The sequence below is a fragment of the Homo sapiens genome, chromosome 13 (assembly GCF_000001405.40).
Source record: "Homo sapiens chromosome 13, GRCh38.p14 Primary Assembly".
Taxonomy (NCBI): Eukaryota; Metazoa; Chordata; class Mammalia; order Primates; family Hominidae; genus Homo; species Homo sapiens.
Window position 1 is genome coordinate 36,268,831 of NC_000013.11, and position 12,677 is coordinate 36,281,507.

At 37.3% G+C, this 12,677-nt stretch overlaps 2 protein-coding genes across 8 annotated transcripts in view, besides 1 other annotated feature; both read right to left on the minus strand.

The window, feature by feature from the left end:
- The window catches only part of CCDC169-SOHLH2 (CCDC169-SOHLH2 readthrough), a 129,598-nt gene that overhangs the window by 100,614 nt on the left and 16,307 nt on the right, over window positions 1-12,677 (minus strand). The gene's annotated exons all lie outside the window — the stretch shown is intronic.
- Window positions 1-12,677, minus strand: part of CCDC169 (coiled-coil domain containing 169) — a 75,811-nt gene that overhangs the window by 46,827 nt on the left and 16,307 nt on the right. The window lies entirely within an intron of this gene.
- Window positions 7,662-7,956: a silencer, noted in NCBI's record as "tiled region #14903; HepG2 Repressive non-DNase unmatched - State 24:Quies". NCBI's record gives its function as "represses a minimal TATA promoter and a strong SV40 promoter by Sharpr-MPRA in HepG2 cells {active_cell/tissue: HepG2}" and the evidence as "EXISTENCE:reporter gene assay evidence [ECO:0000049][PMID:27701403]".

Here is a 12,677-nt window from a genome sequence, read left to right on the forward strand (position 1 = left end):
ATGGTGGCTCATGCCTGTAATCCCAGCACTTTGGGAGGCTGAAGTGGGCAGATCATTTGAGGTCAGGAGTTCAAGATCAGCCCGGCCAGTATGGTGAAACCCCATCTCTACTAAAAATACAAAAATTAGCTGGGTGTGGTGGTGAATGCCTATAATCCCAGCTACTCGGGAGGCTGAGGCAGGAGAATCACTTGAACCATCAGGTGGAGGTTGCAGTAAACTGAGATTGTGCCACTGCACTCCAGCCGGGGTGAGAGAGCAAGACTCCAACTCAAATAAAAAAAAAAAAATCATTTGAGGCTGCTATGAATACCTTTATGTGCAGAAACTAGAAAACCTAGAGGAAATGGATAAGTTCTTGGAAACATACAACCCTCCTAGGTTAAATCAGGAAGAAATGGAAACCCTCAACAGATCAATAATAAGCAATGAGATTGAATCAGTAATTTAAAAGTTGCCAACAACAATAAGAACACCCAGGACCAGATGGATTCACAGCTAAATTCTACCAGGCATTCAAAGAATTGGTATCAATCCTACTGAAACTATTTCAAAAGACTGAGAAAGAGGGAATCCTCCCTAAATCATTCTATGAAGCCAGTATCACCCTGATACTAATATCTGGAAAGGATACAACAAAAAAAGAAAACTACAGACCAATTTCCCTGATGAACATAGAGGCAGAAATCCTCAACAAAATACTAGCTAACTGAATCCAACAGCACATCAAAAAGATAAGGTACCTTGATCAAGTGGGATTCATTCCAGGGATGCAAGGATGATTTAATATATGCAAGTTAATAAATGTGATATATCACAAAAAACAGAATTAAAAACAAAAACCACATGATCATCTCAACAGATGCAGAAAAAGCACTGGACAAAATCCAGCATCACTTTGTGATAAAAACTCTCAACAAACTAGACATAGAAGGGACTTACTTCAAAATAATAAAAACCACACATGACAGACCCACAGCCAACATCATACTGAACGGGGAGAAGTTGAAAGCATTCTCCCTGAGAACAGGAACAAGACAAGGCTGCCGACATGCACCACTCCTATTGAATATAGTTCTGGAAGTCCTAGCCAGAGCATTCGGGCAAGAGAGAAATAAAGGGCATCCAAATTGGAAAAGAGGAATCCGAACTATTGCTGTTTTCAGACGACATGATCGTATACCTAGAAAATCCTAAAGACTCCTCCCAAAAGACTCCTAGATTTGATAAACAAATTGAGTAAAGTCTCAGGTTACAAAATCAATGTACACAAATCAGTAGCACTGTTGCACAACAAAATGACCAAGCTGAGAATCAAATCAAGAACTCAATCTCTTTTACAATAGCTGCAAAAACAAAACAACAACTAGGAATATACTTAAAGCAGGTGAAAGATCTCTACAAGGAGAACTACAAACCACTGCTGAAAGAAATCACCGATGAAACACACAAAAAAGGAAACAACATCCCATGCTCATGAATTGGAATAATCATTGTGAAAAGGACCATATTGCCCAAAGCAATGCATACATTCAATGCAATTCCCATCAAAATACCAACATCATTTTTCACGGAATTAGAAAAAAAAATCCTAAAATTCATATTGAACCAAAAAAGAGCCCAAATAGCCAAAGCAATCCTAATCAAAAAGAACAACTCTGGAGGCATCATATTACCAGACTTCAAATTATACTACAAGGATATAGTTACCAAAACAGCATGGTACTGGTATAAAAAACAGGCACATAGATTAATGGAACAGAATAGAGAACCCAGAAATAAAACCAAATACTTACAGCCAGCTGATCTTCGACAAAGCATACAAAAACATAACTTAGGGAATGGACCCTCTTTTTAATAAATGGTGCAGGGAAAACTAGCAATCCACATGTAGAAGAATAAAACTGGATCCCTATCTCTTACCTTCTATAAAAATCAACTCAAGATGGATCAAAGACTTACATATAAGATCTGAAAGTATAAAAATTCTAGAAGACAAGGTTGGAAAAATTCTCATAGACATTGGCCTAGGCAAAGAATTCATGACTAAGATGCAAAAAGCAAATGCAACAAAAACAAAAATAAATACATAAGACCTAATTAAACTAAAAAGCTTCTGCACAGCAAAAGACATAATAATCACAGCAAGCACACAACCCACAGAACGGGAGGAATTATTTGCAAACCACACATCTGATAAAGAATCTAGAATCTACAAGGAACTCAAACAAATCAGCAAGAAATAAACAATCTCATCAAAAAGTGGGCAAAGGACATGAATAGATATTTCTCAAATGAAGATATACAAATGGCCAACAAACATGGAAAAATGCTCAACATCACTAATCCTCAGGGAAATGTAAACTAAAACCACAAAGATGCTACCTTACTTCTGCAAGAATGGCTATTAAAAAGTCAAAAAAAAATAGATGTTGGCATGGATGTGGGGAAAAGGGAATGCTTATACACTGCTGATGGGAATGTAAATTAGTACAACCTCTATAGAAAACAGTACGGAGATTCCTTAAACAGCTAAAAGTAGATCTACCATGTGATCCAGCAATCACACTGCTGGATATCTACCCAAAGAAAAAGAAGTCATTATACAAAAAAGACACTTGCACACATATGTTTATAGGAGCACAATTCATAATTGCAAAGATGTGGAACCAACCTAAGTGCCCTTCAGCTAACAAGTAGATAAAGAAAATGTGGTTATATATACACCATGGAATACTACTCAGGCATTAAAAGGAATGAAATAATGTCTTTTGCAGTAACTTGGATGGAATAGAAGGGTAATATTCTAAGTGAAGTAACACAGGAGTAGAAAACCAAACACCGTATGTTCTGACTTATAAGTGGGAGCTTTACTGAGTATGCAGAAGCATACAGAGTGATATAATGAACTTTAGAGATGCAGAAGGGGGTGGCTGGGAGGGAAGGAAGGGATAAAAAAACTACACATTAGTGGCCGGGCATGGTGGCTCATACCTATAATCCCAGCACTTTGGGAGGCCAAAGCGGGCGGATCACGAGTTCAGGAGTTCGAGACCAACCTGACCAACATGGTGAAACCCTATCTCTACTAAAAATACAAAAAAATTAGCCTGGAGTGGCAGTGCATGTCTGTCATCCCAGCTACTCAGGAGGCTGAGGCAGAAGAATCGCTTGAACTCAGGAGGCGGAGGTTGCAGTGAGCCGAGATTGCACCACTGCACTCGCGCCCGGGTGACAGAGTGAGGCTCCGTCTCAAAAAAAAAAAAAACTAAAAAAATAAATAAATAAATAAAATAAAATAAAACTACACATTAGGGACAATGTACACTACTTGGGTGATGGGTGCACTAAAATCTGAGAATTCACCACTGTATAATTCATCCATGTGACAAAAAAAAAAAACCATTTGTACCCCAAAATGTATTGAAATAAAAAATTTTTGAAAAAAGACATCAGGGAACTTTAAGTTGAAGTCAGCTAACAATGGAGTCCCATGTTTCGCAGTAATGGGTCTGCTTTAGTAGCTCCACTGCACTTAATCATAGGCAGAGAATAGCCCTTAGGAAGTATAAACCTGATACAAAAGTAGTAACACATGTAAAAATTTTTTGAAGCCCAGCACCTAGGGTCCTCAATTAACCTTCCTGTCCTGGGAAGTCTGTGAGGTTCATTGTTGGGTCACCACACTAACTTTTCTATTTTTTTAAATTATTTTTTCTCTCATTTTTTCTTCCTATTTCTTCCCAATCAACACACTAACTTTTCTAAAGGGCATTTCAGGTTTTTTGCTGAAGAATCCTCCAATCTCCTACCCCATAAGGTTTAATCCTAGCTGCTGGTTTATGGAGTAGGGCAGGAGAAGAGAGCTGAGAGTTCCATTATTCAAACGGCATATTTTCATTTGATCCCATCATTCTTAGACCTCTATCTCACTCACATGTCTCTGTGTCTGAAACTCCAAAGTACAAGAGCTATTGCAGTTTAATTTCTCCAGAAAATAGACTCCTAACTGAAGGAGAGTATCCCAGCTGCGTGGGATGGCAGAGGGGTCCCAGTGACCAACTGTTCCATGTGTTCATCTTCAACTGTCTCCCAGTTTTCAGCTCCTTTCTCACCCCCACCTTCTTCCATACCTGCCAAGTTCTAAAGCACTAAGCAGGTCAGAAGAGTGAATGCATTATTTTCACTGATATTCTTCTCTGCAGGCACTCTGTTGTTGTTTCCTCAACTTCTATCAAGTCAATTTGTATTCTTCCAGCTATGAGCCTTCCAAAATTTGTTTAAATCACTCACCTGCTGAGATTTCTTCTTATCCATTAATTTCAATGATCAGCTATCATGTCTTGTCTAATAAATATCATATCCAAATGTAAAAGTAGGCCCCTGGGTGCCTATTCTTAACATTTTCTTCACAATTCAAACTCAACTTCACCTATTTTGGTGATTTATGATAAAAAATTATGATTTTACTTACACCAATTATACCCACAGTTTTCCAATTTTACATTTGTTATTGGATTTTGTCAGGTGGGAGTACTTTAGGAGTTTTATACATGGGAAGAATATGGGTTTGTGAGATAGGAGCATGTAAGAGTGAACACACCAAATGATGTAATAGTTATAAAAAAAATATCCTGAGGCCCCACACACATACTGCCTTACTTACTAGCTTCACAAGCAAAAAATGTTTTGACTAAAATGGGGAACATTCTAATTATGCACATTTGCATTTTTTAAAGCACAATAATACTACGCTTCAATAATATTTCTACTATTCTACAAGATTTAAAAATAATAATTTTATACTCAAAAACTGTGAATTCTAAAATAGATCACATTTGAGATTGCTAACAACCCACCCTGGTATTTGAGTTAGAAATTCCATCAATGTTTTTATTTAAAATTTTTTTGTAATGTACTAATTTCTAAAGCTTTATAAGCACCATGTGGAAAATGTATTAAGAAGCAGCTTCATAGCAGTTGTGGTCTTCGTGCCTTGTCCTTCGTTCTTTCTTCACTATTATCTTTAAGCTTTAACACCTTGGTTTCTTCCTCCAGCCTCTAACACATGACTTTGTCTCCCAGCTCTGTGCGTGTTCATTCTCTCCAGGCTCAACAGAGAGACACAAAGTATTTTCTCTTCTGCAGTTAGCCTCAGCATTGCCCCCACACACAGTTACAGCTGGTGTGGCCCAGAATTCCCAGAATAACCCACTTCATTCTCCTTCTCTATACCTGCTTCCTATGAGTTGTGTTTTAGGCATACTATGCTTTGAAATTATACTATAACTCAGGAAGTTAGGATGTTTCATTGTGGCAATCTCATGGGAATAAGGCCAGCATAAAAATAAATTATCCTGGGGAGACGACAAAAACACATTATAGATTTTGCAAAAACGACAGCAATCATGAAGTAACCTGGACCATTAACAAGAAGATATTTGTAATTATCCACTTATAAATATACATACCAGAGATCCTTGAAAAGTATAAAATTGTACTACAATAACTTTAAGGTTCCCTCTTATTTTACTGACTCCAAAATGAACTAGATATCTTTAAAACAGAAGAACAGACTCTCTCATTCCATCACTTCCAATTCACTGGACTGTTCATAACTTAATGTTCTTGATCTTCCCAAGGAGCTGCTTTTATCTGATTATATAAATCAATGGTAATATACTAGAAAACTGCAGCCTGGAAAGACAAAGCAACGCCACAGTTAAACTGAAAATTCTACTAGATATTAACAACAACGAAAATCATATACATAAAGCTAATTCTATTATCATAAAAGAGCTGTTTTGTTTTGTTTCTGACACTAATAACTTCTTAGCATTCCAAGCAATAACATATTTCACCTACGATCTTGTTTTAATTTGCTTTTTAAAGGTCATTTTCCAAGAGTAGATTGAAACAACAGGGTAAGAATAAGAAATTTCAAGATACTGTTTACACACCTGAAATAAAGTATACTTAGGTTTTTAAAAAAGTCCCTCACCTCTATCCAAAGCAGAGAGAAAATTCCATTAGCTGCATTTTTTTTTTTTTTTTTTTTGAGACAAAGTCTCCCTGTCGCCCAGGCTGGAGTGCAGTGGCGCGATCTCTGCTCACTGCAGGCTCCGCCTGCCAGGTTCACACCATTCTCCTGCCTCAGCCTCCCGAGCAGCTGGGACTACAGGCGCCCACCATCACGCCCGGCTAATTTTTTGTATTTTTAGTAGAGACGGGGTTTCACCGTGTTAGCCAGGATGGTCTCGATCTATGACCTCGTGATCCGCCCGCCTCGGCCTCCCAAAGTGCTGGGATTACAGGCGTGAGCCACCGCGCTCGGCCTGCATATTATTTTTAAACCAATGATTGCTAACAAACACACAAAAAAAAAGTAAAAAAAAAATCACTCCACTGAACGCTTACAAAAGAAAAAACAGGAGAATACAATGTAGTTAAGCACAGCTCCTATATATATAGTACTTTTCAATATAGGCAACTGCAACAATGAAAGAACACAGCCTTCTACATTCTTAAATACCAAATGCCCCCTTGTGGACAGCACTGTTACTAGATTTGCATATAAAATCTGTTTAAACTAACTTTTCTGTCTGTGATTTGAAGCTATGTACCTATCAATTGACCATTCTGATCTTGGAGAGAACACAAACCCAGTGAGGGCTGTCCACAGAACACCTCAGGAGGCAGTCTCAGAGATTATAGCATTTTAATAACCTCAATACTTTAAAAATATATACTTACACGTGTCAATAGTGCTCTAGTGTCACTAATTTTAATGACTGGTTATCAGGCATTAAAAACAACATTTCTAAGAATTTTCAAAAGGCATAAACTACCACAGTGAGCCCAGTGGGAGCATGACTAATTGGGTGTACAGTGAGGTAATGGGTCCCAGGAAGACCCAAATAGGGCTGGATGTCCATCAGGCAGCACAGCTAAAAGAAGAATCTGAATCATGGTAAAGAAATTAGTATCACAGTCAGGAAAATGGTGTGGGGCAACAGGATGAAGAAAAGATAAGTAGGTCAATGAGTAATAAGACTGGAAGTCAGAGAGTGGGACATGACATGGACCACAACAGAGAATAATAGAGGGGAGAGTCTTGCTTCTCTGAAGAGCCAGGTGTGTGATAAAAACAATGGCCCGATGGTTTAAAAGAACTAAGACTTAAAACCATCTCTTTCTTCAGGCTTCTCTTGCTTTTGTAATATGTTCTTCTCCTGTTTGTCCTATGGCAAGCTGAAACATATGTCTGAAGGGAATATAGACAAACAGGCAAAGATTAATATTTCAAAAAGCCAATTCATCAAAGGATTAATTTGCAGGGAGACCAATCTACCTACGATTCCAAATTTACTAAAAATTCGCTTTAAGGAAAATCATTCATATATGTGAACTTATAACCTGAAATATACTCTTTTTCTAAGAATATTTTCAATAATAATACTAAATGCTAAATGATTTCCGTAAGTTTTGGGTTTTCAACAAACATTTATTAAAATGTTACTAAATAAAATTATATTCATTAGAACATATTCAAGGATTTGGATTTCGGCAAATTGGCTTCCTGTGAATTGGTTTTCTACAAATTGATCAAGAGTCTTCCAGAGAATGTTTGAGATGAGATTAAGTATTTTCCTAAATAATGTTTCTCTGTTTCTACACCTTCTCCCCCATTCTTTTCACCACCAGCTAGTCTTGTTAGCTTTAGGAACAGGATCCATCTGACTGACTAAGCATATGCACTGGTGAGAGATTTCCCTGAAGGATCCAAGCTGCCTGGGTGTAGTGGAGGACAAGGGGGAGGGTACTGATAGGAAAACTAGAGAAAGAGAAAAATAGGGGTCATCACTTTTATGACTCTGAATGAGTCAAGGAATAGGACTTCCACTTTGCAATACAATTGACTACAGGGATATGGTGGGGCTTGTTGATAAGAGCCATTACAGTAACTTATCACAAGCAAGGCTGTATTCCACATCTTTCTCTGAGGGATATACATCCCCTATATCTGTTGATCTTAAGTTGTGCTCTGTAATAGAGCCTATTGTGAGGTCTGCCAAAAAAATACAAATGTCCAGGCCTTACTCCAGACCTACCAAATTTCTGGGGAAATCCTCAGAACGTATACTTTTAATATACATTAGTATACATACATAATGTATATAAAAGTATACATTAAGCAGCACTATTCACAATAGCAAAGACATGGAATCAACCCAAATGCCCATCAATGATAGATTGGATAAAGGAAATGTGGTACATATACACCATGGAATAATATGCAGCCACAAAAAGGAAAGAGATCATATCCTTTGCAGGGATATGGATGGAGCTGAAAGCCATTTCCCTCAGTAAACTAATGCAGGAACAGAAAACCAAACACCCCATGTTCTCACTTATAAGTGGGGCCTGAACATTGAGAACACATGGACACAGAGAGGGGAACAACACACACTGGGGCCTGTCAGGGGGTAGGGTGGGGGAGTGGAGAGCATTAGGAAAAATAGCTAATGCATGCTGGACTTAATACCTAGGTGATGGGTTGATAGGTGCAGCAAACCACCATGGCACATGTTTACCTATGTAACAAACCTGCACATCCTGCACATGTACCCCAGAACTTAAACATTAAAATTAAAAAAGAATATACCTTTAATATATATTAATATGGCTACAGGTCTTTGCTGAACATACCTGGAAATTCTTGGAAGGAATTTCAGGTAGGCACTAAGTCCCGTTTTGGTGAATGCACATGTTAGAGACTAGAAAATGTACACCCAACTAGCTCAAGGGAAGTAAAGGTTCTGCACTTTTTATTAAGAGGGTTAAATATCAGCTGGGTGAGGTGGCTCACGCCTGTAATGGGAGGCTGAGGCAGGCGGATCACCTGAGGTCAGGAGTTCAGCCTGGCCAACATGGCAAAACCCCATCTCCACTAAAAATACAAAAATTGGCTGAGCGTGGTGGCAGGCACCTGTAATCCCAGCTACTCGGGAGGCTGAGGCAGGAGAATCGCTTGAACCCGGGAAGCTGACGTTGCAGTGACCCGAGATCGTGCCATTGCACTCCAGCCTGGGCAACAGAGCAAGACTCCGTCTCAAAAAAAAAAAAAAAAAGATGTTAAATATCTAATGAATTCTATTATAGTTTTGAGAAGGTACCAAAAGATTCAGAAGATTCACAACTTATATAACAGCACAGCTTAATAAGTGAAAACAGATTGCACATCTTTGGGCCTTATGCTTATCCCTTCCAAGTTGATTGGGGTTAATTTCACAACAGACTTGTTTTAATAAAATAGTACTTTTCCTTTATCAAGGGAAAACAGAACAGGAACTAACAGAGCTTACTATGTCAGGCACTATGTTATTTGTTTTATCTATCTCTAATAATCTTCACAGTAACCCTGCATGAGAGTTTAATTAACTCAATTTCACAGATGAGGAAATTAAGCCTCAGAGAGATGAAATAACTTCCTCAGTGTCCCATAGTCTGAATTTGAGCCATGATGGTCTGATTCCAAAACCTACGTTTCGAGGGAAAATAGGTTATACTCAGTACATTTTCTCACCCCTACTCTTCCACTACACACCACATCACATTTTCTCCTATGTCCTAGCCTCTAATTGGCACTTCTTTCTTCGCTTTTGAATAATTTGCCTGAACTCTGGACAACGTGTTTTATCCTCTCCTACAGCAGAATTTTCTAGAACATTCTTTTCCTGAACATTCATAAAGCCTTCCCCTTCTTGACTTCTGTGATACCATTCTTCCAGTTGTCCCCCCATCCTTTCTCAATATTTTTCCTTCTCAATAATATTCCCTAAATTGCCTCCTAACACTTTAAATGTCAGCATTCCCCAGGGTTTCAACCTCAATTCTATTTTTCAGACTGCATATTTTTCCTGAGCAATCCCTTGTAGTTTCATGACTGCATGTGACACTTATGACTTGGTGATCTCTGTTTTCAGAGAAGCAACTTTCCATAATCCAAAACTATTTTCAGTTGCTTCCAAACCACTATCACCTGTGTAATACACACAAACAAAACTAAACTTACCATTTCCTAACATCCTAATTTCAATTTCTATTATCCTGTTCATTGTAATCCATGAAGTTATTCAAGCCAAAACTCTCAATTGTCATTAAATTCTCTTGCAGTCTTACCCAATATCTAAGTATTCATGAAATCCTCATTCCTAAATAGATCTTTAATCTGTCTCCTCTGCTCCATCCCCATATAATACTGCCCAAGCTAAAAAAAAACCCACCTTCCCTTACCTAGACTACGACAAAAGCATCCTAGCTGGTTTCTCTGATTCAATTCTAACCCACCCTGAGGAATCCTTTCTTCATGGTGGTTGGGGTGGGGGTGGGAGGATCTTTCAACCTCTATATAAAATATTTCAATAGCTTCTTATCATATACAAAAAAAATTCACACTCCCTACCATGAATACCAAACCCTTTATTATTTAGCCCCTGCATATTATTTCCAGCTTCATCGCTCATCATCCCTCTTATTTATTCCAGACATACTGAACTAACTGTAGAGCTGGGGTGTCTTTAGACAGACTGACCCAGAAATACTTTATAATAATTTGAAAATCTACCTATCTTATGATTTTAAAATTCCACTTCTAAGAACATGTATACTTGAAGCAGTGGTTCTCAAACTTTTTTATTAGAATTACCTGAAGAGTTAATAAAAATATAGAGGTGGCAAGTAGGTTGAAGGACAGGACTTGGCCTTTGTATTTTTATGAAGTGCCCTAGGTGATTCCATAACCTACCAAAGTTTATGGATCACTGCCTTAAAGCAGAGGCTGGCAAACTATAACCTAAAGATCAAATTCAGCTTCTGCCTGTTTTTGTAAACCAAGATTTTTTAGAATACAGCCCACCAATTAGGTGTTGTCTATGGCTCCCTTTATACTACAGCAGCAGGGTTGAATAGCTACAACAAAGATCAGAGATCATACAACTGCAATGCTGAAAATATTTACTATTTATCCATCTACAGAAAAGTTTGCTAAGCCTAGAGGAACACTTTGCACTGAAAGACACATATAAAGATATTCACTGTGGCAATGCTTGTCATAGTGAGATTTTGAAAAATTCATGATGTACGTAAATAGGCTAATTTACGTAATTCATGATGTACGTAAATATACTAAGGATATACACATATAATGAAATACTATACAACTGATAAAATTTACTAGATCTTTATTAACATGAATGGAATTAAATAATGAGTAAAAGAATGATATGCACAGTATGATACTTTTTATATGCATTTTTATACATACAACATGTAGAGAGATATTAAAAATAAACTGAAATAATATATACCAAATTCATGGTAGTCCTTGCCTATAAAAAGGAAACAAAAAGAAGACAGGGAGGAGAATAAAAGGGATCTCAACTCTATAAATTGTTTTCATTAAAACATTTAAAGTCAAAAAGGGACAAAGATCTGAAGATTTATAAATACTAGAATATGGAGTTGTTTGCCATAATACACTCTGTGGGTTTCAACTCAAAATTAAAACCAGAAACAACCTAAAATACCCAGTTATAGGGAAAAGTAATTGAACATTCACATTCCAACACAATGGAACATAATATATCATTGAAAAATGCACATGAAGAGAACATAACATATGAAATAATTGACTTAATTACCCCAATTAGCATAGGATTCAAAACTGTCCATGCGGTAAGGTTATAATTATATTTTAAACAACAATAAAAACTAGCTGTAATCCTTTTTCACTTTGTTTGTTGGCTGACTTATTTATTTGGTTGTTCTTTTTAATCAATATGTATGCATACAAAAATTACTAAAAACAGAACTGTCTACAGTGGATATGTTTGATTTTATGATATTCTTTTTCTATACCTTTTATTTTCCAAATAATATCAGCTGAATACATGTTGAACGAATATGTATGAATGAATTGAATGAATACATAAAATGAAATGCCTTCACTTTAAATGACTTTGTGTGTGGCAGATACAGCCAACTGTACGCTCACAATCCACTCTTCTCTTCTTCCTGTATATTCAGTAAAACACTATATTTCCTAGCCTGTCATGCACACGAAGGTGCCCATATGATACAGTTCTAACTCCCAATGAAATGTCAAGGGGAATTACTGGGTGCAGCATCTTAGAAAGCTCTTTGAAGGGGAGTAGACGTGACCGGCTTTCACCTTTACCATTTCTCCTTCACCTATGTCTTTTTTTGAATGATAACGTGAAGCAGCTGAGAAGGCGAAGCAGCCATCTTTAAACACGAGGACAAAAGCCACTCACAAATGGATGGCAGAGTAGAAACTTAGGGGAAGCCTGGATTCCTGAAGGCATTATACAGCCACTGCACCACCCCTGGACTGCAAACCTCATACTTTCTGTCACATGAGGAAAAAAAAGAAAAGAGAAAAAAAAAACTTTACTTGTTTAAACCTTTCTCTTACATTCTGCCAAATGCAACCCTTGATACATCATGCTAAAATAAAATTTTAATAAATTACCCCACTGAAAGACACTTAGAAGATAATATAACGTATCTTACCTTCAGAGGAGAAAAGTGAACCTCAAGAAAAAAAAAAGTTGGAGGCACCAACCTATTATCAGAACAAAGACTAAAGCTTCACT